The sequence below is a fragment of the Homo sapiens genome, chromosome 14 (genome assembly GCF_000001405.40).
Source record: "Homo sapiens chromosome 14, GRCh38.p14 Primary Assembly".
NCBI classification, from domain to species: domain Eukaryota; kingdom Metazoa; phylum Chordata; class Mammalia; order Primates; family Hominidae; genus Homo; species Homo sapiens.
In genome coordinates this window covers 95,344,213-95,369,012 of record NC_000014.9, presented here as the reverse complement: position 1 = coordinate 95,369,012, position 24,800 = coordinate 95,344,213, and the positions used below count along the sequence as shown (strand labels likewise).

Below are 24,800 nucleotides of genomic sequence, written 5' to 3'. Positions count from 1 at the left end.
CCTCAGGTGATTTGCCGCCTCAGCCTCCCAAAGTGCTGGGATCACAGACGTGAGCCACCGCACCCAGCCTCAGCTTCTTCATTTAAATCCACTGATTGGAATCCCAAGCATCTGCAGAGAAAAGAGAAAAAGAAGAACCACATTTTTTTCTGTGGGTGTGTTTTTTGATATCCAGGGATCCTGTAAGAACCCATTGTTAAATTTTCAAGATTTTGAAATTGCTAAGCACAATAAATATTAAATTTATATACTTAAATAAATTATATTAAAATGTGGCAATAAATACTTAAAACGTATCCCTTCCTGATTATGTCATGAGATTTTACTGTTACCTATGCTCTCGAGGATATGGATGTTTATTGCATCTGTGTGATGATATTTTTTTTTTTTTTTTTTTTTGAGACAGGATCTTGCTCTGTAGCCCAGGCTGGAGTGCGGTGACACAATCAAGGCTCACTGCACCCTCCACTTCCCAGGCTCAGGTGGTCCTCCTACCTCAGCCTCCCGAGTAGCTGGGACTATAAGCGTGCACCACCACACACGGCTAATTTTTGTATTTTTTGCAGAGACAGGGTTTCGGCATGTTGCCTAGGCCTGTCTCGAACTCCCGGGCTCAAGTCATCCACCTGCCTCGGGTTGGTAATATTATATAATGGCATGCTACTGTGCAGCTCTTTCCAACTCCATGTTCGATAATATCGCACACATTAGTAGCTTGAAATTTGTTGCTGTGGAAGTATATACACCATGGAAATAGGCAAGTGCTACACATGAGACTTGGATTTATTGTTTTATTGATTGTCTAGACTTAAGAAGGTGATGAAGAAAGTGTTAATGATCAAGATTGTGAGAGGAGAGTTTTCACAAAAGGTTAAAATTATGACTCTCAAGCAGGTATAATATGAATACAAGTCAATTATTTTACCTAACCCATTAATTAATGAGGGACCAGTAAGAAGTTACAACTGGGTTAAACGAGGATTTGCCTTGCACAGATTTACATTTTCTACCTGGTAAAATTCATTTGCATAACCTTGGACAGGTATCATTTGCTTAGCCATGGACATAAAAGATTTGCCCACTATCAATTTTTTATAAGTTAACATCTCTGCAAGGTTGTAAAATAAAAAGACAGACAAAGGCACATACCTCTATAGCATGAGATAATCCCTGGAGGCCCCAGAGATTTACTAAAAGAATATCCAGTAATCTTTTATCCACCTCAAAATCTTCCACAATTTTTCCTCAAGAGATTATATTTAAAGTATGTTATACCTGTAGCCATTATATTGTGAAAAGCACTAAAAAAATTAAGAAAATACTCTTAGAATTTGAAAACTATTATCCAACTTAGTAAAGAAGTGACATAATATTGATGAATAAGTGAAGTTCTTTTTTTTTTTTGAGACAGAGTCTCACTCTGTCCTGGAGTGCAGTGGCTTGATCTCAGCTCACCACAACCTCTACCTCCCGGGTTCAAGTGATTTTCCTGCCTCAGCCTCCTGAGTAGCTGGGATTACAGGTGCCCACCTCACAGCTAATTTTTGTATTTTTAGTGGAGACGGGCTTTTCCATGTTGACCAGGCTGGTCTTGAAATCCTAACCTCAGGTGTTCCGCCCACCTTGGCCTCCCAAAGTGCTGGGATTACAGGTGTGAGCACCATGTCCAGCCTGATGAGTGAGTGAAGTTCTGACGTAAATCTTTGTTGTTTTAGTCTTCTCTCACTCATTAGAGTAAATGAAAATACCAACCAACATACATGTTGAAACTATACTCATTCATCAATGATGTGAGTCACTTCTTTGCTGACTTGGACAGTATTCAAACATTTACTTGTAGTTTAATCTTCTCAAATCATGACTGAGATGCAACCATAAGTCAGCTACAGATAAGAATTTAGCAAAAGTTCTCAAAAGCATTCTATGAGAATCAACTGGCTCTGTGGAATTTGCAATAAAGAATATTATATATTTTCTTATTTGTAAGTTGTGTGCTACAATCCTTCATATCAGTAAAATGCACAATAAACATGTACACATATGAATGCCTACTTTTTTTTTCTTAGCCAACTGTTAAAAAATTTAACTACACACCACTGATGGAGATCCTCTGGATTCTTATCTGGATCATAGAATTTCCTTTAAAAATTTCTTTTTAATTTTACTCTATAAGAGTAAGAACATTTTATATCAAGAACCAGCATACACACACAGACACACACACACCTTTAAAACAATCATAAGACAATTATTTTTCCCTTTAACTCTAGACACATTCCAATCTATTCCATTCCAGTCCAGTCCATTTCAGTTAAAATAGTTGCCATTTCAGTATGATCTTACTATAGATCTCAGGAAGATTCCCATCTGCAGTTTGAAAAACTCTTACCTAAACTCAACTTTCAGCCCTCCCTCATCTCCCAATCTTCCTCCTCCTCCTCCTCTTCTTCTTCTTCTCCTCCTTCCTCACCCCTCACCCTCCCAGGCTCAGTCAATCCTCCCACCTCAGCATCCGGAATAGCTGGGACTACAGTTGCGTGCCACCACATCTGGCTAATTTTTGTGTATATATATATACATATATATATATATATATATATGTGTATATATATATATATATGTATATATATATATTTTTTTTTAAATACAGGGTCTCTCTGTGTTGCCCAGGCTGGTCTTGAACTCCTAGGCTCAAGTGATCCTCCTGCCTCAGCCTCCAAAAGTGCTGGGACTACAGGCATGAGCCACTGCACCTGGCCCCCTCCCAATTCTCTCCTTATTCCCACATCACACTTGAATTTGAAGGTCTGTCTCAGATGTCTTCTCCCTGATCAGTGAGTGGGCTAATCTCCAGAATTAGCTCTCTTCCCCAGTATTTTTTCACACTGGTACAATTGTATGTTCCTTTGTGTCTGGCCCTCCTGACTTACTCTACACAAAGGTGGGAACAACTTTGTACGCATCTCTGGAGCTTCAGCACATGACACAGTGCCTGGCACAGACAAGGCTTTTGAAAGTGTGTGGAATGAGTATATGAATGAACAGCTGAATGAATGAAATTCAGAATGCAATGCCTCTTATGAAAAGACAGCCTTCAGTAGAGTGATCACTCATTCAGTCTCATGAAATCTATAGGAATCAGACGAATCATCATGCCCTTTTCACTAGACAGAGAAACTGAGGCATCAAGGAGCAGAGTGACTTGTAGGGAAAAATACACACAGCTTATTCTTTGACCATCCTGTCAGCAGAAAAGGGAGGGGAAAATAGTTATGATGATTCTTGCTCAGAAGAAATCAAAAAAATCTCTCCCACACTGGCTGAAATAGGAAGTAAAGCTGAATGCTGATTTGCAGATGTTGGAAATCAAATTGCATCATGTGTAATGGAATTCTAGAAATTTGTAGGGTCAAAAAACAAACAAAATAACCAAACACACACTTTTCATTTCTTAGGCAATAGTACCAATAAAACGGTGTTAACCCAAATCACATTGCTTTATTTCAGCTTCAGTTACCCTGAAGAAAATTCCAGCCAACAACTTTCCACACTGTTGTTTAAGTAAGCTGACCCGGGTCTGGCTTTTATGTGAATTGTGAATTAGACATGGACACTTGTATTTTATTTATAGCAAAACGCCATTATTTATCGAGGGCTGATGATTGTTATGTCAACTACGTATAGTCTTTGGTAAATCTCCCATCACCCATAGAGGGATGTTACTATTATTATGCCTATTTCGCAGATGAGTAAACTAGATTTAACGCAGCTCTTCAGCCAGCAAGTGGCCAAGCTGGGGTTTGAACCCAGGGCTCCAAAGCCAAGATTTCCTCCAAAACATGTGAAGAGCCTCAGGCAACATGGCGCTGAACTTACCAGGAAGTATCAAAGGAGTCTGCAGGACTGAGCCTGCACTGTGTCTACTCCACCACAGGTGAGTGTACGGAGATAAAGAGGGAGTGCCTGGCAACCTGACCTGTGGCCCCTGGCTGGTGACCTTTGCCTTGACCCTCTGCTGTGTTTTTGCTTAGTGATTACAGATGGTCAGGGTCAAGGGCAGCTTGCCTTTATGGGTGATCTAGTGGAAAAAGTGCAGGTTTTGAAGGCAGACAGAGCTGGGCTTGAATCTGGACTTTATTATTTAACAGTTACGTAGATCTTCGACCTGGGACTGCCTCTCCCCGAACCCCAGGCTCCTCATTAAAAAGTGTGGCTGCATAAGACTTTCTTCACAGGTGTACTCTGAGCATGAAATGAGCTAACATGCATGGAGGCATGCAGTGAGGGTTGAATGACGCTAGCCCCTTTCCTTGCCACTCACAAGTACAGCCCTAACTGCTGAGAGTGCTGGGCCACCCAGAGAGAGAGAGAGAGAGAGAGCAAGGGCCTGCAGAGAAGGTCATCACAAGGACAGCAGCACCTTGCAGGTGTCAGGGGGACAAGGGACCAATGCTTTCACCTGCCCCGTGCTGCTTGATTTTGCTCAAACCCATTTACTCAGGCAGGGAAGAGATTGTCATTCTTTCTATATGAGGAAACTGAGACTCGAGTTGGATGACCAAGTGTGACGCCTCCCCCTCCTCCCCCCACACCCCAGGCATTCTCGAACCCACTTCATGAATTTGCCACTTCCATATACCACCCATAACGCAGTTTACTAAATATGTGTCCTCAAGTCTACTTGGTTGCTTACTTAAATTCATTGTCAAAGGAAACTTGACTTCACCACCATAAATGGGAAGCCAGCAGTGCAACTGTGGCCATAACAAAGAATACGATGGAAGTAAGTCCACTTGATTAAATTCCAGATAAACACACTATTGCCTGTGAACCTGGAGCCTGCCTGCTGTTGATGAAAAGGGAGATAAACAAAAGTCAAAGAAGCGTTCAAGACAAAGTAGCACCAGAGACTCTCTTCTTAACAGAGGCTTGAAAGCAAACTGAAAAGGGAAGAATCATTTCATATGTGGTCTGTGTTACCTAAAGGTACAGTCCCTGCATCATCAAAATCAACTCTGGGCTTCTAAAATCTCTCTAGTCAGGGAAACACTGATAGACCTGGTCCTACTTTTTGGGCTCTGAACTGTTGAGTGGCTTGCCAGCGGCAAGAGGGCTGAGAGGCACTGTCTCAGGCTGGCCTCGACCACTGAGCAGAGCTGTTTCTGCTGCTCCACGGGTCCGGAAATGCTCAGGGAGGGATGTGGGGGCTTTGCTTGCTCGGAACTTCCATTTCCCAGGCTCAGCAGCTATCAACTTTTCTCCCACAGATTGTTCTAGAAATGAGTCTGTCTGGACCCCCCCACACACACGTGGTTTGGCAGCGGCATGTTCACGCCTCTGTGTCTATTGTTGAGACCAGGGTTTGTCAATCTCAGCAGCGTTGGTGTTTGGGGCCAGAAAATCCTTCACTGTGCTGGGGCTGTCCTGGGCACTGCAGGACGTCTGACAGCGTCCCCAGCCTCTGCCCCCTGGGTGATGTTCATCTCCTTCCAGGAGTGACAACCAAAAATGTCTTATGGGGGACAACCCTCCCTCTCCCACCCCACTTGAAAGCACTGCTTTTGATGGAAAAAAACAAATGTGGTTTTTAGTCCCTGGGGAAAAGTCTACTATTAGTGGGATTTAGTTTGTTTGTTTATTTTACCTTCTTAGAGAAAGACTTACCTTTATAGATAAATTTGTAAGTTATAGTTATTATTCTTACCTCCTGACTAAAGACTAATAAAGCAGTTGGAAAAAAAGGGGGCATTTATTGTTTATGTCACTTGAGGCCAACTGAAAGCCAAGATAATGGACCAGAGGGTAGAAGAGGGAGGGAGAGGATAGGAGGAGGGAAGGAGGGAGGAAGGGAATGGCCACTGATTAAGCATCCCCCCGGGGTGCTGGGACCTCAAAACATTGTCTCCTTTCACTCACAGAATCCAACAGGGAAGGTTGGATGAGGACGGGAGACTAGAAAGGTCAAAGGGCAGGCAAGTGACTAGCTGGGTCCTCTCTCTGGCTGGGGAGCCCACACTCCCTTTTCTGGGGAGGAGAGAGGAGGAAAGAGTCAGTTCCAGGATTGGAGGGACTTGGAGCTCAGCTAGTCCTACCTTCCCAAACTCAGAGCTGTGATGTGAATTCCTTGAGGGCATCAGCTAATTGTCACTAGAATCCAAACTGTCACCAAGAAGACAGGGAAGAGGTAGACCTAGTGGATGTTGGTGAAGAGGGGCAAAGCAGGCTTCAACCCACACAGCCTGTCTCTTAGCCCTCTGCACTGCCCACGGCTCAGTCACATAGTCCTTCTCTGCATATGTGCACAGATAGGCTGGCCAAAGGGTGCTAAGAGCAATTAGCAAGGCAGGTAGTCAGCTGTCACGAACGGGGCCCCAGTGGGAGATGCTACAGGCTTGACATGAGGTCTTCTCAGACCCCTGTATCTTTTCTTCTATTTCTCTATCCTTCTAACTTAGCAAACTGCTACCTAACTGCAGCCAAAAGTGGACGTCTCATGGACCAGCCCCTTGCACCTGGAAAACCAGAGATCACACACAGGTCACCCCTCAGGTCAGAAAAGCCCATCGAAGTAATCTTAACCCTGCTTGGGTGATAAAGTCCAGCTCCCAGAGCAAGGGCCACATTCGCTTGTTTCATTAAACAGCATGGAAAGATTCAAGACTCGTCTCAACTGGCCATCCCCAGATCAGAGCAAGCCAATGAGCAGCCCCGTTACTGCCCTCGCCTTCTGCAGAAACGCCAGAGGACTAGAGAGGTTCATCAATTGTGATGGAAATTCTATCTGTGTGGCGTTTGTCTCTCTCCAGGTTTCTCTGCCTGCCGGATACCCAGGCTCACATCTGCTCCATGGCACACTTATTGAATATAATCCGAAAGAAAGTTGCTGGCAATCTGGAGAAAGACGAACCCTTCCCGTTTCTGAGACGGAAGGACTTCTCAGGTGAGAAGCACTTTTACATGCATCGCCCCCTTCCGAGTGCCCCAGTGCCTCCAGGAGGGCAGGTGACTGTCGAGGCTGTGGCTCTGTTTGCGACACAGAGCCGCCATCTACTCTCCTGGGGTCAGAAAGTCCGTTGGCAAGTTTCAGATAATAACTCAGCTAATTTGGGTGGAGCTCTCTCTACTTTTGTTTCCCAAAGGAAAGACGCCAGAGATGGAAAGATGTTAGAGAAACAGAAGAATGAACTCGGCTGAACTAAGAAAGGCAGTCCTTGGCAGGATGTGGGGAGGGTAGTGCCTCCGGCCAACACAATAGGATTCACCTGGGAGAGGGGCCAGCTCCGGAGATTTCTGAGAGGCTCCTCCTCCAGAAGGATCAGCCAGGTCCCGGCAGCTCAACCGGGCCAAGGTGCCGGAGACCCTCGGACTCTGCAGACTGTCCAGTAGGGGGCACTGTTGCCTCCACACTGGCCGACCTCAAACACCTTCTGCTCCTGGTGTGCCCCTCCCCAAGGTCCTCCCCCAGGAGTGGAAGGCCGTCTCCAGCCCTGAAGAGACTCAAGGATCCTACCTGTCTGCAAGCCACCCCAGGCTGGCCTACCTGGCAGAGCCTGGGTGACATCCTGCATCCTCAGGGATGACACAGCAATCACTACAGCTGCTGTTTACTGAGCACCTACTATGTGCCAGATGCTTTCACTGTGTGACCTCATTAAAACTCCACCGGAGCCCTCTGACTGGGGTATTATTAGTCCCACTTTACAAATAAGAAAGGCAGCTTCAGAGGCCACACAGTCCATAAACATCAAAGCATAAGCGTCTCAGGTCTTTCCAGGTGGGAAGTTTGGGCCCCTTCCACTGTCCCCGACAGTGTCAGATCCTGTGGTTCCAGAGGGCTGCCTGTCCCCTGGGATCCAGGGCTGGGCGTGTATTATCTTGTGAGCTAGGTAATATTTTATACAAAAGCACAGAGCGGTCAGACGCCTGCCCAAGATTGCATAGACACCGCAAGTAGAGCCAGGATTTGAGCCTGGACTTCCGGGATCCAAGGCCCATATTCTTTCCATTACCTGGCCCGCCCCCTGTAGAGGGCCCATCAAAAACACCGCGTCCTTGCTTGCCCAAACCAACAGGAGGCCTCTTCCATGATCTCTTTCACTATGGCTTTCATCCCCTATTAATGCATTCTTGTGAATTTGGGGCTTTCTAGGCCTTCTCAGGTTGGCCAGGTCCACACAAGCTCATTGGCCTCTCTGGCCTCAATTTCCCCACCGGAAAATAGAGATTTCAAGGCATGGGCGGGCAGGGCTGCTGGTATGGAATAAGACCCCGATTCTGGTTCTGGTTGGGGGTGGCCGGCAGGCTTTTTCCACCGCCAGGGTCAGGGAGGCTTTGCATACTTGTGTGGGCGGCGGAGCAACTGCCCCCACGTGAGCCCCTGAACAAAGAGGCCTCAGAGCACCTCTCCTCGCACCACTCGCCGCCTCCAGCGCCCGCCGCCAGCCGGCTCAATAGAGCGCTTGTGGCCGCGCTGAGGAGCTGCGGCCCAGGCTCGGCGCATTGTGCATTGTCTGAGTCCCGGCGCCGCGGCCAAGGGTCGCTCCATCAAGGTCGCGCCTGGGAGGACGGGGGCTGGGGGGCGCGCGCGGGAATTGCCGGCCGCTGGGCAGCGACACGGTGCATTTGTCTCAGCGCTAGGGGTCACGGGGACTTTCAAAAGAAAGGCTTCCGGGCGCCCCTCTGCCCCTGATAAAGGCACCCATTGCTGCTCTCAACCCAACCCAGGCAAAACCCCACATTCCTCAACAGAGCCCTGAACTGAAATGACCCAGCAACCCACGGTGGAGTGAACCTCAGCTGAAGCCAAATGTTCGCTTTTCACTGAACTGAAACAACACTTGGGCGTTTTCCAAAATCATTCACTGGGAACATTTGTGCATTTGTTTATTCATTTAATAAACGCTCACTGGTCACTGCCCTGTGGTCCAGGCACAGTTCAAGGCGCCAGGGCTCCTTGTGGGGTAAGCAGTGAGGTCTGCCTGGTGGAGTCACAGATACGGAAACAGGATGGCACAGTCAATAAATGGTTGCCACTCCACATTCTCAGGGCAAGCACAGTGCCTGGCTCAGGTAGGGACTCAGCCTGTTCCCTGGAGGAATGAAGACAGGGAGGGGGCGAGGTGGGGACCCTAATAGAAGCGTGGCTCTGGTCTGTAATACAAGCACTTTAGGAGGCCGGGGCAGGAGGATCATTTGAGCCCAGGAGTTCAAGACCAGCCTAGGCAACATAGCAAGACTCCATCTCTACAAAAAATAAAAAAAACTAATTCGCCAGGTGTCGTGGTGCGTGCCTATAGTCCCAGCTACTCCAGAGGCTGAGGTGAGAGGATCGCTTGAGTCTGGGAGGTCAAGGCTGCAGTGAGCCATGACGGTGCCACTGCACTCCAGCCTGGGCCACAGAGCAAGACTCTCTCTAAAATAAGTAAATAAAAGTGTGGCCAGGTGCTGCGGGATCAGAGAAGTAAGGTCTGCTACTTTTCCGGGCAGTCAACATCTGAAAGAAACCTGAATTTACCCTACCTGAACTACGTGTTTTTAAACTGAAAGAAATCAAGTAATACAAGAATAACGAGAGGTTCAATTGAGTTTTCAAAGGTCCGGAAGGTGTCCTGAGCAAAATGCCAGGTTGGTCGTTAATCATGCATTCATTCATCCATCATTCTTTCATTCAACCAACACTTATGGATGAAGCACCCACTCTAAGCTAGAATCTGTGGGGATTTACCCACACCCAGGTCCTTCTAGTTTCTTTAACAATGAAAAAGCAACTCTTAAAAAGCCCACTCAGGGGCCGGGTGCGGTGGCTTACACCTGTCATCCCAGCACTCTGGGAGACCGAGGTGGGCAGATCACTCGAGGCCAGGAGTTCAAGACCAGTCTGGCCAATATGGCAGAACCCTGTCTCTACTAAAAAAAATTAGCCAGGTATGGTGGCGCATGACTGTAATCCCAGCTACTTGGGAGGCTAAGGCACAAGTATCGCTTGAACCTGGGAGGTGGAGGTTTCAGTGAACCAAGATCATGCTACTGCACTCCAGCATGGGTGACAGAGCGAGACTGTCCCAAAAAAAAAAAAAAAAAAAAAAAAAAAAGGAAAGGAGAAAAAGAAAAAAAGCCCACTCAGGGATTGGGGCCTGCAGAAGATCTGGACTCAAATTTTATAGCAAGTGGCTTAAATAAGAAATGGAATTTGAGCTAATTTCCTCACTTACAAGGCTGCCTGCCTGCCTTACAGGGATTTGGGGAGAGTAATGTATAGAAAGTGCCTTCCTCAATGGAGCCGGCATCACCATAATCTGCTATGTGTGCCCTGGTCTTTACAGTTAACAAATCTCCTTCACTTGCAAAATTTCATTTTGTTTTCACCATAATCCCAGGAGTTCAGCAGGACTGCTATGTTTAATAGTCACCTTTACAGAGCAGGAAATTGAGGGTCAGAGAGATGAAGCAACTTACCAAGTTCACACAGCAACTCAGCGTTAGAACTGAGACGAAAACACAGAGTTTGAATCTAAAGCTTTGAGGGTTGGTCTGATTCTGTTGACAAAGCTTCATGACAATGCCAGAAGACTCTGGGGACTGGTATTTCCAAAGTAATTAGTCACATCTAACATAGGAGAGACTTAGGATCAAGCACCAAAGATCTGCCACCTATTTTGGGCATGTGAGTAGCCCAAGGAATGTTCTAGAAGGAATACCTGGTGAGAGAAATCATGTTTCCCAAAGATGGCCACAACAGTAGCTCCCATCCCACATGCTGTACCTGTAGTAGGACTGTCTCATTCTCTCATTAGGATGTGGGGTCTAATTTGCCTCCCCTGGAATCTGGGCTGGCCTTACAGACTTGCTTGACAAATATAAAGTGGTCATTAGTGGTATTCTGGGACTTCTAGGGCTAGGTCATAAGAAGCCTTGCAGTGTCCACTGGGGTCTCTGGGGTTGATCTTGGAGCACTCTGTGTTGTAAAATTCTTTACACAGAGAGGCCATATATGGATGTTCCCAGGGACAGCCTTAGCCATGCTCCCAGTTGACGACCAGCAGGTCATCATGCTGTGTGAGCCATCTTGGACGTCCTGCAACGTCAAGCCCTCAGATAATTCCAACCCCAGCTGAATCCAACTACAAACAGCATAAGAGAACCTACGCAAGAACTGGCTGAGTCCAGTCAAATCCCAGAACCACAGGAGACAATAATGCATCCATATTTTAAGCCATACAGCTGTGGATGGTATATTATAAAGCAATGAATAACTGGAATACCTGGAGTGGTTTACAGGGCTCTTCATTTAAAGAGAAACTGAGGCTAAGAAATTAATCAAGGCCCTTCCTCTGGGCTCTCAGAACGCTCAGTGTAATTGCTATAAGGGTATCTGAGCCCAAATCATTGGTTTACTTGTCTGTCCTACGAGACTGTGAGCTCTTGGGGGATAGAGAATATATTAGGGCTCTGGAGTTGCTAGTAACGGAAATAAAACTGGCTTACTTAAGCAAAGCAAAATTGATTGGGAGGATTTGGGAGAGCTCAAAGAATTAGAATAAAAACCAGACTGGGTTCAGAGAACAGCAGTGATCCAGGGCAGGGGCACATGGAGAGTCTCTGGGGGTGCCAGGGCTATACATGAAGAGTAATCCTTTGTCCCTGTCATGTTATGCTGCTCAAGATTCCAATTCCAGGGGGAATACTCTTGACTGGCCTGCACTGGGCCACAGAAGGGCAGGCCCCACTTGGATGTGGGCCCCACTCAGGCTCTGTCCATTGGATGGGCTGTCCCCTAAACAAATTCAGGATGTTGATGCCAGAAGAATGGGGAGTGGGTATTGAAGAGGCAAAGTTGGGCCATCACATTTGCCCCAGCAACCCCAGTACCCAGCTCAGTGTCTGGCACATAATAGGTGCTCAAGAAATATTATTTTGATGTGTGAACAAATAAACAATCTAATGAATAAATGTGCATGAATGAATGAAGCAACACATGAACAAGTGCATAGTTAGACAATGCGTGGGCCATGTGCAGGCCTTTGAAGACACCTGCTAGATATTACAGCACTTTAACTCCCCTCCACCAAGCCAGGCATTTTTTTCTCAAGAGAGTTTCTGATACCTGGATTCTAGAATGTATACAATTTTAATCCCCTAATCCTGTCAGTTTAAGAACATTATACACTTTGAACAGGGCCTGTGATAATTCCTGAAAACACCCCAGGAGCGGTGACTCCCTAGCCCTGCTTGATTTTAAATTCAGTTTTCAGGGGAGGGCTGGTGGAGGAGATAGATGTGAGGGAGGCTTGTCTCTGAGGCAAGAGCTGGGAGGTCTGGCATTTCCTTTTATGGGTCCACAGCTGTTCAGCAGAAGGCAGCTGGACGAGGCTTGGTCTGGTGGCCGCCACACTACACCCAAGGCAGGTAGATGCGTCATCTGCACATCTGCCCAAAACCTGCACGTAAAGGACGACAGACCATGTTGTCTCACGCCTTACACAGACTCACTAAGGGTAAAAGGTCAGACTTCACCAACTCCTGAAAACGTCGCCACTTCTATTTTTGGTACACTTTCAAGGCACTCATCCTAGGTGGATAAGCTTTGGGGAGACAGGCCAGAACGAGGTCCCGGGTCAGGAGCCCAGCTGGTTGGGCCCAGTTGCCGGTGTGAGGCCTTCCAATTTGTTCTGAGACCCCCATCCCATGAACCAAATCCAAATAAAGTGACATTCCCAGCCTGCTGGTCCTGTCCTGGTGACTGGGGAGAGAATGGGTTCTCGCTCCGGCCAGGACTATAGAATTTAATGTTAATGATGGCCAATAGTGCCCCCTGGGATGGGCAATGGACTTTATTGGCCCCAGACATAGTCATTCTGGTGGGGGACTCAGGACCAGAGCTGATTCAGCCTAACGGTGGCAGAGGGGGGTGGCCAAGGAACTGGAAAGTAGTGAATAGAATCTTTGATGCCTTTACAATTTGTTAGCACACGCACAAAGAAAACTTAAAAAGCAAATTGGCTCAAATATATATTAATACCTCGACACACCCTGATTTACTCATCTGGAGGTAACTTACCAGTCAACAGATATTCTCCAGGACAGGAGGGAAAGGGTTAAGGAAGGAAAGGTCATTTGTGCTGAGCACCAGGGGGTGCCAGGGGTGATGTTAGGAACTTTCAATATATTATGTCCTTTAGGCCCTACAGCAGTCTGGAGATTCAATGCAACCTCATTTCACAGGTAAGGAAACTGAGTCCACAGAGGTGAGGTACATTGCCCAAGGTCATGATACTCCTAAGTGGCAAACCTAGGATTTGAACCTCGGTCAAGTCAGACTCTGTGGCCCATCTCCATTTCATTACATCATACCATCTCCTGGGAAGTAAACAAAAGAGGTGTTTGAATGGAAACGCACAGACCTCATTCACCAGAGAGTCTGCCAGAGCCACTGATTCTGGCTGTTATACAATTCTCACAAGTATGATTATTCGATCTCCTGGCTCACAGACAATGGGAAACATCAAATAAGTAGGAGAGAAGGCTACAGAAGGAAGCATACAGTGTGACAAGTAGCTATGGAAGCCAGGGTTCCAGGTACAGTAAATGGTGGGGTGGCTTGAATCTGACCAAGCCTCCTGATTGTAACCATTAAAATCTCTGAATAGCAAATTTTTAAAAAACCATTTGAAGGCACTGGAATGCAATTCAGAACTGGTGGGAATACAACTCTTGGGAAAAAAAGAAAGCATATAATTTTATGATTTTCTCAAAGAAAAAGCTTTTGTTTCATTCTCTCCTTTTTAATTTTTTATTTGTATATTTTTGGGGGGTACAAGTGCAGGTTTCTTCCATGCATATATTGCATAGTGGTAAAGTCTGGGCTTTTCCTATACACATCATCTGAAGAGTGAACATTGTATCCAATAGGGAATTTTCTATCCCTCACCCCCATCCCCACCCTCCCATGTTTCATAATCTCCAATGTCTACTATTCCACTCTGCATGCCCCTGTGTACCCATCATTTAGCACCCACTTATAAGTGAGAACATGCAGTATTTGACTTTGTGTTTCTGTCTCCTCTTGGCTTTTCAATGTCACTGATACCTAATTTTACTTTATTATTTCCTTTCTTCTTTTTACTTTGGACTTGATTTGCTCTCTCTTTTCTTGTTTCCTAAGGTAAAAGCCTAGGTCATTGCTTCGTGACCTTTCCTCTTTTTTTTTTTTTTTGAGACGGAGTCTGTCTCTCTCACCCAGGCTGGAGTGCAGTGGTGCCATCTCGGCTCACCGCAAGCTCTGCCTCCCAGGTTCACACCATTCTCCTGCCTCAGTCTCCCAAGTAGCTGGGACTACAGGTGCCCGCCACCACACCTGGCTAATTTTTTTGTATTTTTAGTGGAGACAGGGTTTCACTGTGTTAGCCAGAATGGTCTCAATCTCCTGACCTCGTGATCTGCCCACCTTGGCCTCCCAAATTGCTGGGATTACAGGCATGAGCCACCAAGCCTGGCCCTTTCCTCTTTTTTAATGGCAATTCATGCTATGAATTTTCCTCTGAGCACCACTTTAGCTGCATCTTGCAAGTACTGATAATGTCAGTTTTTATTTTCATTCACTTTGAGTTACTTTTGATTTCTTCTTTTTTTAATTTTTTTTATTATACTTTAAGTTCTAGGGTACATGTGCACAATGTGCAGGTTTGTTACATATGTATATATGTGCCATGTTGGTGTGCTACACCCATTAACTTGTCATTTACATTAGGTATATCTCCTAATGCTATCGCTCCCCTCTCCCCCCACCCCAATTTTTAAATTTTGTGGGTACATAGTAGGTGTATATATTTATGGGGTACATGAGATGTTTTGATATGGGCAACTTTTGATTTTTGCTTTGGCCCATGCATTACTTAGATGTATATTATTTTGTTTCTAATATTATGTCATTTTCCAGATGTCTTTTGGGTATTGATGTCTAATTTGTGAGCACAGAGCAAATTTTGTAAAGTGGGGGTTCATTTACATTTATCAAGACTTGTTCTGTAGCCCAGAATATGGCCTACTTTGGTACATATTCCATGTGCGTTGGAGAGGAGTGTGTATTCTGTTGTCCTTGGGTGAAGTGTTTTATAAATATCAGCTAAGTCACGCTGGTTGATAGCGTGCCATCTGTTGTTTCCTTTTCCTCTTTTTCTGCCGTCTTTTAGGTTGAGCTTTTTTTTTTTTTTTAATGGAGTTTCGCTCTTGTTGCCCGGGCTGGAGTATAGCGGTGTGATCTCAGCTTCGCTGCAACCTCCACCTCCTGGGTCCAAGTGATTCTCCTGCCTCAGCGTCCCAAGTAGCCAGGACTACAGGTGCCTGCCACCACGCCCAGCTAATTTTTGTATTTTTGGTAGAGATGGGGTTTCACCATGTTGGCCAGGCTGGTCTTGAACCCCTAACCTCAGGTGACCCTCTCATCTCAGCCTCCCAAAGTGCTGGGATTACAGGTGTAAGCCACTGTGTCCGGCTGAGAATTCTTTTATGATCCTATTTTATCTCTTGTGGGCTTCTTGGCTACCCCTCTCTGTTTTCTTTTAGTGGTTGCTTTAGGGTTATAGTACACATTTTTCCCTTATTACAATCTACCTTCAAGTGATATTATAACACGACATGTGCTATATGAAAACTTTATAACAGTATACTTCCATTTCTCCTCTCCTGGCCATTGTTCTAATTTGTCATATATTTTTACTTCTATGTATGTTATAAACTCCACCTTACAATATGTTAGTTGATAGTAGTTTTACTTTTAATAATTACCTTTTAAAGGATTTATTTATTTATTTATTTATTTATTTATTTATTTTACAGAGAGGGTCTTGATCTGTCACCCAGGCCATCTTCCCACTTCAGCCTCCCAAATATCTAGAACTAGAGGTGTGCACCACCACACCTGGCTAACTTTTTTTATTTGTGTTTATTTTTGTAGAGACAAGGTCTTGCTATGTTGCCCAGGCTGGTCTCAAACTCCTGGCCTGAAGCAATCCTCCTGCCTCAGCCTCCCAAAGCACTGGGATTACAGGCATGGACAACATTGCCAAGCCGTTAAAGGGATTTTCTAAAAGAAATAATATATTTTATATTTACCAACATACGGTATTTATCACTTCTAAAGCTCTTCACTATTTTAAACAGACAGACCATACCAAGTATTTCTAAGGATGGAGAGCAATGTAGGGTGTCCAGCACTGCTGGTGGGCATGTAAAATGGAACAGCCACGTTGGAAGCACAGTTTGGTGGTTTTTATAAAAGCTAAATACATACCTACATATGATTCAGCCATTCCATCCCTACATATTTACACAAAAGAAATGCAAGCACGGCTGGGCATGGTGGCTCATGCCTGTATTCCCGACACTTTGGGAGGCTGAGGCGGGCAGATCACTTGAGGTCAGGAGTTCAAGACTAGCCTGGCCAACATGGTGAAACCCTGTGTCTACTAAAAATATGAAAACTAGCTGGGCGTGGTGGTGGCACCTGTAGTCCCAGCTACTTGGGAGAGTGAGACAGGAGAGTCGCTTGAACCCAGAAGGCAGAGGTTACACTGAGCCAAAATCCCGCCACTGCCCTCCAGCCTGGGTGAAGGTGAGACTGTGTCTCAAAAAATAAAAAAAGAAGGAAAGAAAGAAAGAAAGAAAGAAATGCCAGCATATTTCCACACAAGGATCATTACATGAATGCTTATAACAGTTTTATTTTTAATAGCTAAAAACGAGAAAAAGCCCAGGGGCCCATCAGCAGATGAGCAGATCAACAAACGGTGGTGCATCTATATAACAATAAAAACAGGCACGTAGTCAAGCAGGGATGCCTGTGGCACCCCGCAACAACATGGATGAAGTGCGTAGCTATCATGCTGGGAGGAAGAGCCAGAAAAAGAAAAGATGCATGAAATTCCAGAAAATGCAAACCAATCAGAAAGCAGAGAGAGAGGAATGGCTTTCAAAGTAGCCCAAGGAAGCTTTTGGGGATGGTGCCCTTTGTATAGTCATAAACCTATGTCAAAACTCCTCCAGGTTTACATTTTAAATATGTGTGATTTATTGTATGGCAATTATACATCAATAAATCTGTAAAATCTATTGAATGGGCTTAAAGCAGATCAGAAGTGGCGGAAGAAATGAGCATGACCTTGAAAAAAACACACGATGTAATGATCTGAACTGAGAAAATAATATTGAAAAAAATAAGGAAGAGCATCTCAGTAATTAGTGGGACAACACCTGACAGGTTAGCATATGTCAACCAGGGTCCCAAAGACGGAGGAAACGAGACAGAAAAAAATATAGGAAGAAATAATGGCCATTTTTTTTTTCAAATTTCCAGCATCTACAGGCTCCCAAAGTTCAACAAACCCAAGAAGGAAAAAATAATAATAATACTAAAATAAAGAAATCCACATCATAATCAAATGCCTGAGAAGCAAAAATAAACAGAAAATCTTAAAGACTCCAGAAGTTAAAAGATATATGAAATCCGGGGATACGATAAGAATGACAGCTGCCTTCTCCATAGAAACAATGGAGGACAGAATGGTGCCATGTTCTTTAAAGTGCTGAAGCAAAATAACCACCAAGCCAGGGTTCTACATTCAGTAAACATTTTCTTCAGAAATACAGGAAAATAAAGATGTTTTGAGAAAAACAAAATCTAAGGAATTCAGTGCCAGCAGAGCCATGCTACAAGAAATGTTTTTAAAAATTCTTTGGGCTAAAGGCAAAGGATATAGTTGGAAATACAGGTCTCAAGGAAGGAAAGAAGATTACTAGGTAATTAAATATATGAACAAATGACCATTTTTTTTCTTAATTTCTTTAAAAGATATGCGTGTATGTTTTATTTTGTTTTTTGAGACGGTGTCTTGCTCTGTTGCCCAGGCTGGAGTTCAGTGGCGCAATCTCGGTTCACTGCAACCTCTGCCTCCTGGGTTCGAGTGATTCTCCTGCCTCAGCCTCCTGAGTAACTGGGACTACAGGTGTGCACCACCATGCCCAGCTAATTTTTGTATTTTTAGTAGAGATGGGGTTTCACCATGTTGGCCAGGCTGGTCTCAAACTCCTGACCTCAAGTGATCCCCCTGCCTTGGCCTCCCAAAGTGCTGGGGTTATAGGCGTGAGCCACCTCACCTGGTCAATATATGCATTTAAAGTGAAAAAATTTAAAACATATTGTAGCATTTATAACTTATATAGAAATAAAAATATGACCATAAAAGCTCAAAGGACAAGAGAATAATAAATGGATTTATGCCATTGTAGTTCTTGTAGTTTACATGAAGCAGTATAGTATTAATTTATGGTAAATCAAAATAAATTAAGGGTGCATATTGTAATACCCAAAGTGTTAGTGGTAAGGTATTACTACTAAAAAAAACCCAACAAACAAACAAACAAACAAAAATAGATACAGCCAAAATGGCAATAACTGAAGAGAGTAAAACTGGAACACAAAACAATACTCAATTTTCCCAAAAGAAAGCCTGAAAGAAAGAATAAAGAATGAAGAAAAGAAGAAAAAGAAAATAAGTAGGAAATGGAGGCTTACATCCAACCACATCAATAATTACTCTAAATATAAAATAAACCCCCCAATTAAAAGACAGCAATTGTCGACTGGATTAAAAAGTTAAAAATCAAAGCAAGACCTAGCTCTATGCTGTTAACAAGAGAGAGCTTTTAATATAAAGAAGAACACAGTTCTGAAATTAAAGTGACAGGAAAAAAATCTAACACGAAAACAGGGAGGATAAGTAAGCGAGTGTGAATATAATAGTGTCAGAGAAAGTAGAGTTCAAGACAAGTGTGTTGCTAGAGACGAGGAAGGTTTTTGATGTTAAAAGGGTAAATTCATTTAAAAAAATCTTTAATGTGTATTTAGGAATAATAGAGCTTCAAACCAGGTAAAGCAAAAATCAACAGAATTAAAGGGAGAAAGAGGCAAGTCTATGATCATAGTTGGAGATTTTAACACATCTCTCTCAGTAACTGATAGAACTTGGGCCAGGTCTAGGGCAAGGCAAGTGAGACACTCGCCTTGGGTGCAAAATTTAAGGGGGCACCAAGAAACTTTGTAGCTAAGTAATATTTTAGAAAATCAACATTACTGCAGAAAAATCCCATATGAACAAAATATCAATGAAATTTTTTTTTTTTTTTTTGAGAAAGGGTCTTACTCTATCACCCAAGTTGGAGTGCAGTGGCACAATTATAGCTCACTGCAGCTTCAAATGCTGGGACTCCAATGATTCTCCCACCTCAGCCTCCCAAGTAGCTGGGACCACAGGTGCACGCCATCACACCGGCTATTTTTTTTAAAGTTTTTGTAGAGATGGGGGTCTCACTATGTTGTGATCCTCCTGCCTCAGCCTCCCAACTCTTGAGATTACTGGCATGAGCCACTATGCCCAGCTCTCAAAATTTTAAATAAAGATAAGTGCTCCATGCCACCATCCATCAGACCTGTCCTGAGTGTAGACAAAGCCACCTTCTCTTTCTTACCTGGCCCCTGGGGAGCAAGAAGCTGCTTTGACAGGACAACTGGCCAGCCACAAGGGTCCCGAGAACACCCCCCTGCTTCTGCTCGGAGTCCACGCCCACGTACAGTGCAGAGTCCATTCACATCCACCAAGCAGCGCCGTAAAATATTGAGGAGAGGGAGCTGTTTGCAGGTTTGGAATACAATATCTGTGTCTTTACCTGTGCATGCATATCACTACTTGTAAAGCCCTATCCTGTATCTCATCAGATCTTCACAGTCACCTTCTGAGACCTCAAAGTAAGAATCACATGCCCATTTTACAGAAACTGTCCATCAAAAGGAAGTAGAGACTTGTCCCAGGGTCCATGGTAATAGGCACAACCGAGACTCAAATCCTGCCCAAATCTTTGTCCTTGACTCCATCAGGCTGTGCAGAATTCACTTATTTCCCTCCAGTTGGAGGGAATTTGCACCCAAGACAAATGTCTCGCTTGTCTTACCCTGGGCCAGGTCTAGGGTGAGGCAAGAGAGATATTCAGTTTGGGTGCATGAAGTACATTCGCTGGGGATGCTGAAGGCTTGGCTGGGGCTTTTTGCCTTATATTGACACTTGTAAATATCTTTGGAGCCAGGTGAGGCCAGTAAAATGTTACACAAATAAGAGCTGTCTCCTAGAATCTACAGGTCATTTCCTGGAGTCAAGACCAAGCGGGCATGGGGGGCTGGGTGCACCTTCTGTTGGAAAGAAGCCCAAAGCACCCTTTGGAGGGCAGTGAGTTTTTAGGGATGGGCCTTTGCTTTCCTCTCCAAACCTGTGTCGCATCTGAAAGGATGTCCAAAGGCTAGATCGGTGTTTCCCAGGGTGGGTGACACAGACAAAGATGGAACTGAAGCGCAACTTGTTCAATGATGACCTGTCTCCCACCCGTGACCAGCGAGGGGTGCTGAGGAGCTGTTCGTGGCCAAGGTTTTCCCATTCTTGTGCTGTCTCCCCTAGCTCCTGCCTCCACGCTCCTTGGGGACTGCTTCTCTGGGCTGTGCAAATGTCAAAGGTGCCCAGTCCTCATTTTCCAGGGCTCATGTTTCTAGATGCCTCATGCCCCCTCCATTTGTTTCTCTGAGGCTGCCTGATGCATGGTTGTTTGGCTTTTTCTCCCCATCTCCATGAAAGTTGCTTCTCTTTGGAAGCAGAAATGTGGGTGTCTTCCTGTAATCCCTTTTTTCCTGAATCCTACTCCAGGGGAAATTTCTGACCTTTCGCTTCTCCTGAATTCCTCCTGGCATCTCCATCCCAAGGGCAGGGTCCAAGTACCCAGACCCACCCCAGGACTGTTGCAGTTGCCTCTAAAGGGGTCTCTCTGCCTTGGGTCTCACCCACTGGGAGCCCCAAAACCAGCTTGGGAGGGTGCCTTAACTACCTCCACCCCTATCTCCATCAGCCTCCTCCCTCCCAAGCCATTCCCATAGACTTCAGTCCAGGAGGAAAATAGCTGGCTTGTTATGGGAATAGCTTCAACACAAATATCGTATCTCCTCCTCCACTTGAAGGGAGATGCATTGTCCTGGCCTATATTGAAATTCTGGAGCTGCCATAAGACCTCTCAATACCTGTGTGCCTCATATTGCTTATCTATATAATAGGAATAATAATAGAATCAACCTTTTAGAATTGCTGGAAGGCCTGTAACTATTGCATCAAATGAGGAGAATTCATAAGGTGCAGGCACTGAACATTCTCCCCTACCCTAACACCCCCATTCCCCTTCCACCCTAGTGCTTGCTCCAGTCTGCTCTTGGGGACTGTTCCCTGCTCCTTGAAGAAATCTTGGGGAATCTTCATGCTCACTCTTTTTTTGTCGTTTTTCTTTTTCTTTTTCTTTTTTTTTTCTGAGACGGAATCTCGCTCTGTCACCCAGGCTGGAGTGCAATGGCATGATCTCAGCTCACTGCCACCTCTGCCTCCCGGGTTCAAACGATTCTCCTGCCTCAGCCTCCCAAGTAGCTGGGATTACAGGCACGCGCCACCACACCCAACTAATTTTTTTGTATTTTTTAGTAGAGACAGCGTTTCACCTTGTTAGCCAGGATGGTCTCGATCTCCTGACCTCGTGATCTTCCCGCCTCAGCCTCCCAGAGTGTTGAGATTACAGGCGTGAGCCACCGCACCCGGCCCATGCTCACTCTTAGATACTGCTATTACTACTAATAATCCTGCTATTACAGTGGTCTCCTGATCTCATTTTAGTAAATATTACATTCATTTGAGATAGTGGCCAACATTCCTAACTTCATTCAGAATTAAAGCTTCTTCAGTCCCTTGGCCAGGGCCTGATGTAGGGACCTAAGGGCCAGACAGCATCTTGGCTCCTGGGGACTCTTCTGCATCATCTGCCCCTTGTCAACAGGAGCACAGCTGTGCTGCCCTGCTCTGTTGCCAAAGCCACTTCATGCAGCCTTGTAAAGGTCTTGGGATTCTTCAAGGGTGAGTCAAACAACAGCCCACTGTGTCTCTGAAGCTGGAGGAAACAGGTATTACACTCTCTGAGGCTTCCTCAAAGCCCCCTAACTAGCTTGGATGAGAGAAAAGCACTACCCATGCATCCCTGATTGGATGTGGGGTTGGAGGTGGGGAGGTGGAGCTGGGAGGGGCCACTCACAGCTCAGCATAGAGACCGCTTCACTTAGGAATCCTCCAATCCCTGGGCCTGTCCTTTGTGTCTGTCCTGCGGTGGATGAGCAGACAAAAGTCACAAAAGCAGTCTTCAGCCACTTCCTTTGCAAGTTCTACCTTCGTGGTCTAGTCTCCACTCCAGAGTTCAGCAGTCCATTCATTTGAGTCATTATCTAAGGGCCTTGATAAAAATGAATAAAATATTCCCAGCTAAACACTACAAGACAGAATATTCTTTCCACTTAAAGGGCCTGACACACAGCAAGCACTCAATAAATGTTATTTTTCATTTGTTTAAAAAAACGTGGTCTCGTTCTGTCACCCATGCTGGAGTACAGTAGCTCGATCTCGGCTCACTGCAGTCTTGGCCTTCCCGGCTCAAGCGATCCTCCCACCTCAGCCTCCCTAGTAGCTGGGACTACAGGCGCATGCCACCATGCCAGGCTAATTTTTCTAGTTTTTTGTAGAGATAAGGTTTCACCATATTACACAGGCTGGTCTTGAACTCCTGAGCTCCAGTGATCTTCCTGCCTTGACCTCCCAAAGTGTTGAGATTACAGGCTTGAGCCACCACGCCTGGCCAATAAATGGTATTATTCAACTAAATAAGTAAGTGTTAGCCAGTGCTATTCTTACTACTAATCATTACTATCCATACCTGTCCAGGCTCAGCCCTTCCAAGTCTTCTCTGCCTTCATGCCCCAAGCTCTCCCAAGGCTTTTGATTTCCTGCCTTTGCCTATATTGTTTTCGCCCTGGATGCCTGCCCATCCCACTCCCAGGCTAGAACACTTAGGCTCTTTCTTCAAGCCCCAGTCAAGCCATGGCCACATTGGCAGGCTGTTCCCACCTCTCCAGATGAAGCTGACCTCTCTCTTATTCTGCGCTCCCTGTAGCGCGTCCTCTGCCCCTATCCTGGGCACTAATCCTACTCACTGCAAGGTCTTCAACCTGCTGCTGTCATACCCCCTCACCCCCCGCCCCACACACACACACACACACACACACACACGACTTCAAACCATGGCTTATGCATTTCCATAGCCCTAGTGTGCCCCTATTCTGCAAGGATAATTGAATGAATGAGTTACTAGTGAATGAATGGATGGATGCATCAAAAAACCGCAAATTAAAAAATAAATCTGTCATCAATATGCTAGGAAAAGAATGAAATCCTCCTCAGTGAATCTTGCGCTAAGTTACCACCTCTGCTGAGCAGTTTTAAGGGGGCCTTGATGGCTAAAATGATGATGGGATTTTCCCTGCATAAAATTTTATCTATATTTTTCTACCCCATTCACCTAGAAATAGAGACTGATGAATAGTAGCAAGAGTGTGGTTCATGTTAGGTCTTTGCAACAAAGTGTCAAGTGCCTTGCAAATCCCAAGGTTCTGAGGCCACTGTGACCATGTTTTGAGTGGCGATGGCTGTTCCTTCACTCTTTGCTGGGCTGCCATTTCTGTGACTCCAGAGGTGCAAAGGACCTATTCTCAGTGGAGCAACAATAACTGTGATTATGAGCCCTCCATCAGACACTGTACATGCCCTGCCTCAGACAGTCTATGAAGGAAATCCATTTACCCAGTCTCACTTGTCTCACTTTTAGTCAATAGTCTTTACACTTTCTTTTTGCGAATTCAGTGGTCGATTCTTACCCTTCATGGTTAATAGTGATTAACCATGTTAAATGCTTCTCGGCGGCATCCATCTTGAAACACTTCCTTCACTTGCTTTCTGGACCACCACATTTCTCTGGCTTTTCTCCTTAGCTGGCTGCTCATTCCAGATGTCTCCTCCTCTCCCCATCATTCTCTTCTCTTCCCCAGTCATTCTCTCCTTTCCTCTCTTGTTCTCTCCTCTCCTCTTCCTACAATCACTCCCTTAGTGACCTTGTCCATTCTTAAGGCATTAAACACCATTTATACACTGGTAACACTAAGGCATTTATCTCCAGCTCTGTCTTCTCTTCTAAGCTTCAGATTGACAATGCCAAATGCCTATTTGACACTTCCCTCCCCTTGGATGTCTTAAATTTTGAACTCATGATTGCTACTGCTTACCTCACCACACTTAGACCTGTACCAGCCCCCTGGCCTCACCCATCTCAGTGATGATGTCACTGATCATCCAGATGGTCAGGCCAAAAACCTTGCATGGTCATTATTGCATTCTTGTTCTCCCTCTCCTACTAGCAATTGCTGTCAATATCTTCAAAATATCTCTGGAATCTGATTACTTCCCTCCTTCCTGTTTCCACCCTGATCCCCATCATGATTACCTTTTTCTTGGATTATTGCAAGAGTCTCCTAACACCTCCTTGCTGCCACAACCTGCCCCATTTGCTCGCCATGCAGCAGCCAGACTGATCTTTAAAAACAACAAGTTATATCATTCCACTCCTTTGCTTAACACTCTCACGTGATGTTCTAGTTCATTGTTGTTTCTCTTTATCCCCTTCAATCTGGAATGGATCCTTATTCTTTTTTTTTTTTTTTTTTTTTTTGAGATGGAGTTTTGCTCTTGTTGCCCAGGCTGGAGTGCAATGGCACAGTCTTGGCTCACTGCAACCTCTGCCTCCTGGGTTCAAGTGATTCTCCTGCCTCAGCCTCCCGAGTAGCTGGGATTACA

At 45.1% G+C, this 24,800-nt stretch overlaps 2 long non-coding RNA genes across 2 annotated transcripts, besides 2 other annotated features; one reads left to right on the top strand and one right to left on the bottom strand.

Annotated features, from left to right (window-relative positions):
• Positions 1 to 11: 11 nt before the first annotated feature.
• On the bottom strand, positions 12 to 22,426 carry LOC107984710 (uncharacterized). The gene is made up of 3 exons (XR_001750863.1): positions 22,159 to 22,426; positions 19,522 to 19,681; positions 12 to 111 (listed from the first exon to the last, which is right to left on the bottom strand). It is a non-coding gene; the product is annotated as an uncharacterized LOC107984710 (long non-coding RNA).
• Positions 6,733 to 7,667, top strand: LOC105370638 (uncharacterized). Its single transcript, XR_944172.1, has 2 exons — positions 6,733 to 6,940; positions 7,140 to 7,667. It is a non-coding gene; the product is annotated as an uncharacterized LOC105370638 (long non-coding RNA).
• Positions 7,784 to 8,403: an enhancer, noted in NCBI's record as "OCT4-NANOG-H3K27ac-H3K4me1 hESC enhancer chr14:95826947-95827566 (GRCh37/hg19 assembly coordinates)". NCBI's record gives its function as "activates a minimal SCP1, AML or CMV promoter by ChIP-STARR-seq in naive H9 embryonic stem cells {active_cell/tissue: H9 hESC(naive)}" and the evidence as "EXISTENCE:reporter gene assay evidence [ECO:0000049][PMID:30033119]".
• Positions 8,404 to 9,024: an enhancer, noted in NCBI's record as "H3K27ac-H3K4me1 hESC enhancer chr14:95826326-95826946 (GRCh37/hg19 assembly coordinates)". NCBI's record gives its function as "activates a minimal SCP1, AML or CMV promoter by ChIP-STARR-seq in naive H9 embryonic stem cells {active_cell/tissue: H9 hESC(naive)}" and the evidence as "EXISTENCE:reporter gene assay evidence [ECO:0000049][PMID:30033119]".
• Positions 22,427 to 24,800: the final 2,374 nt, after the last annotated feature.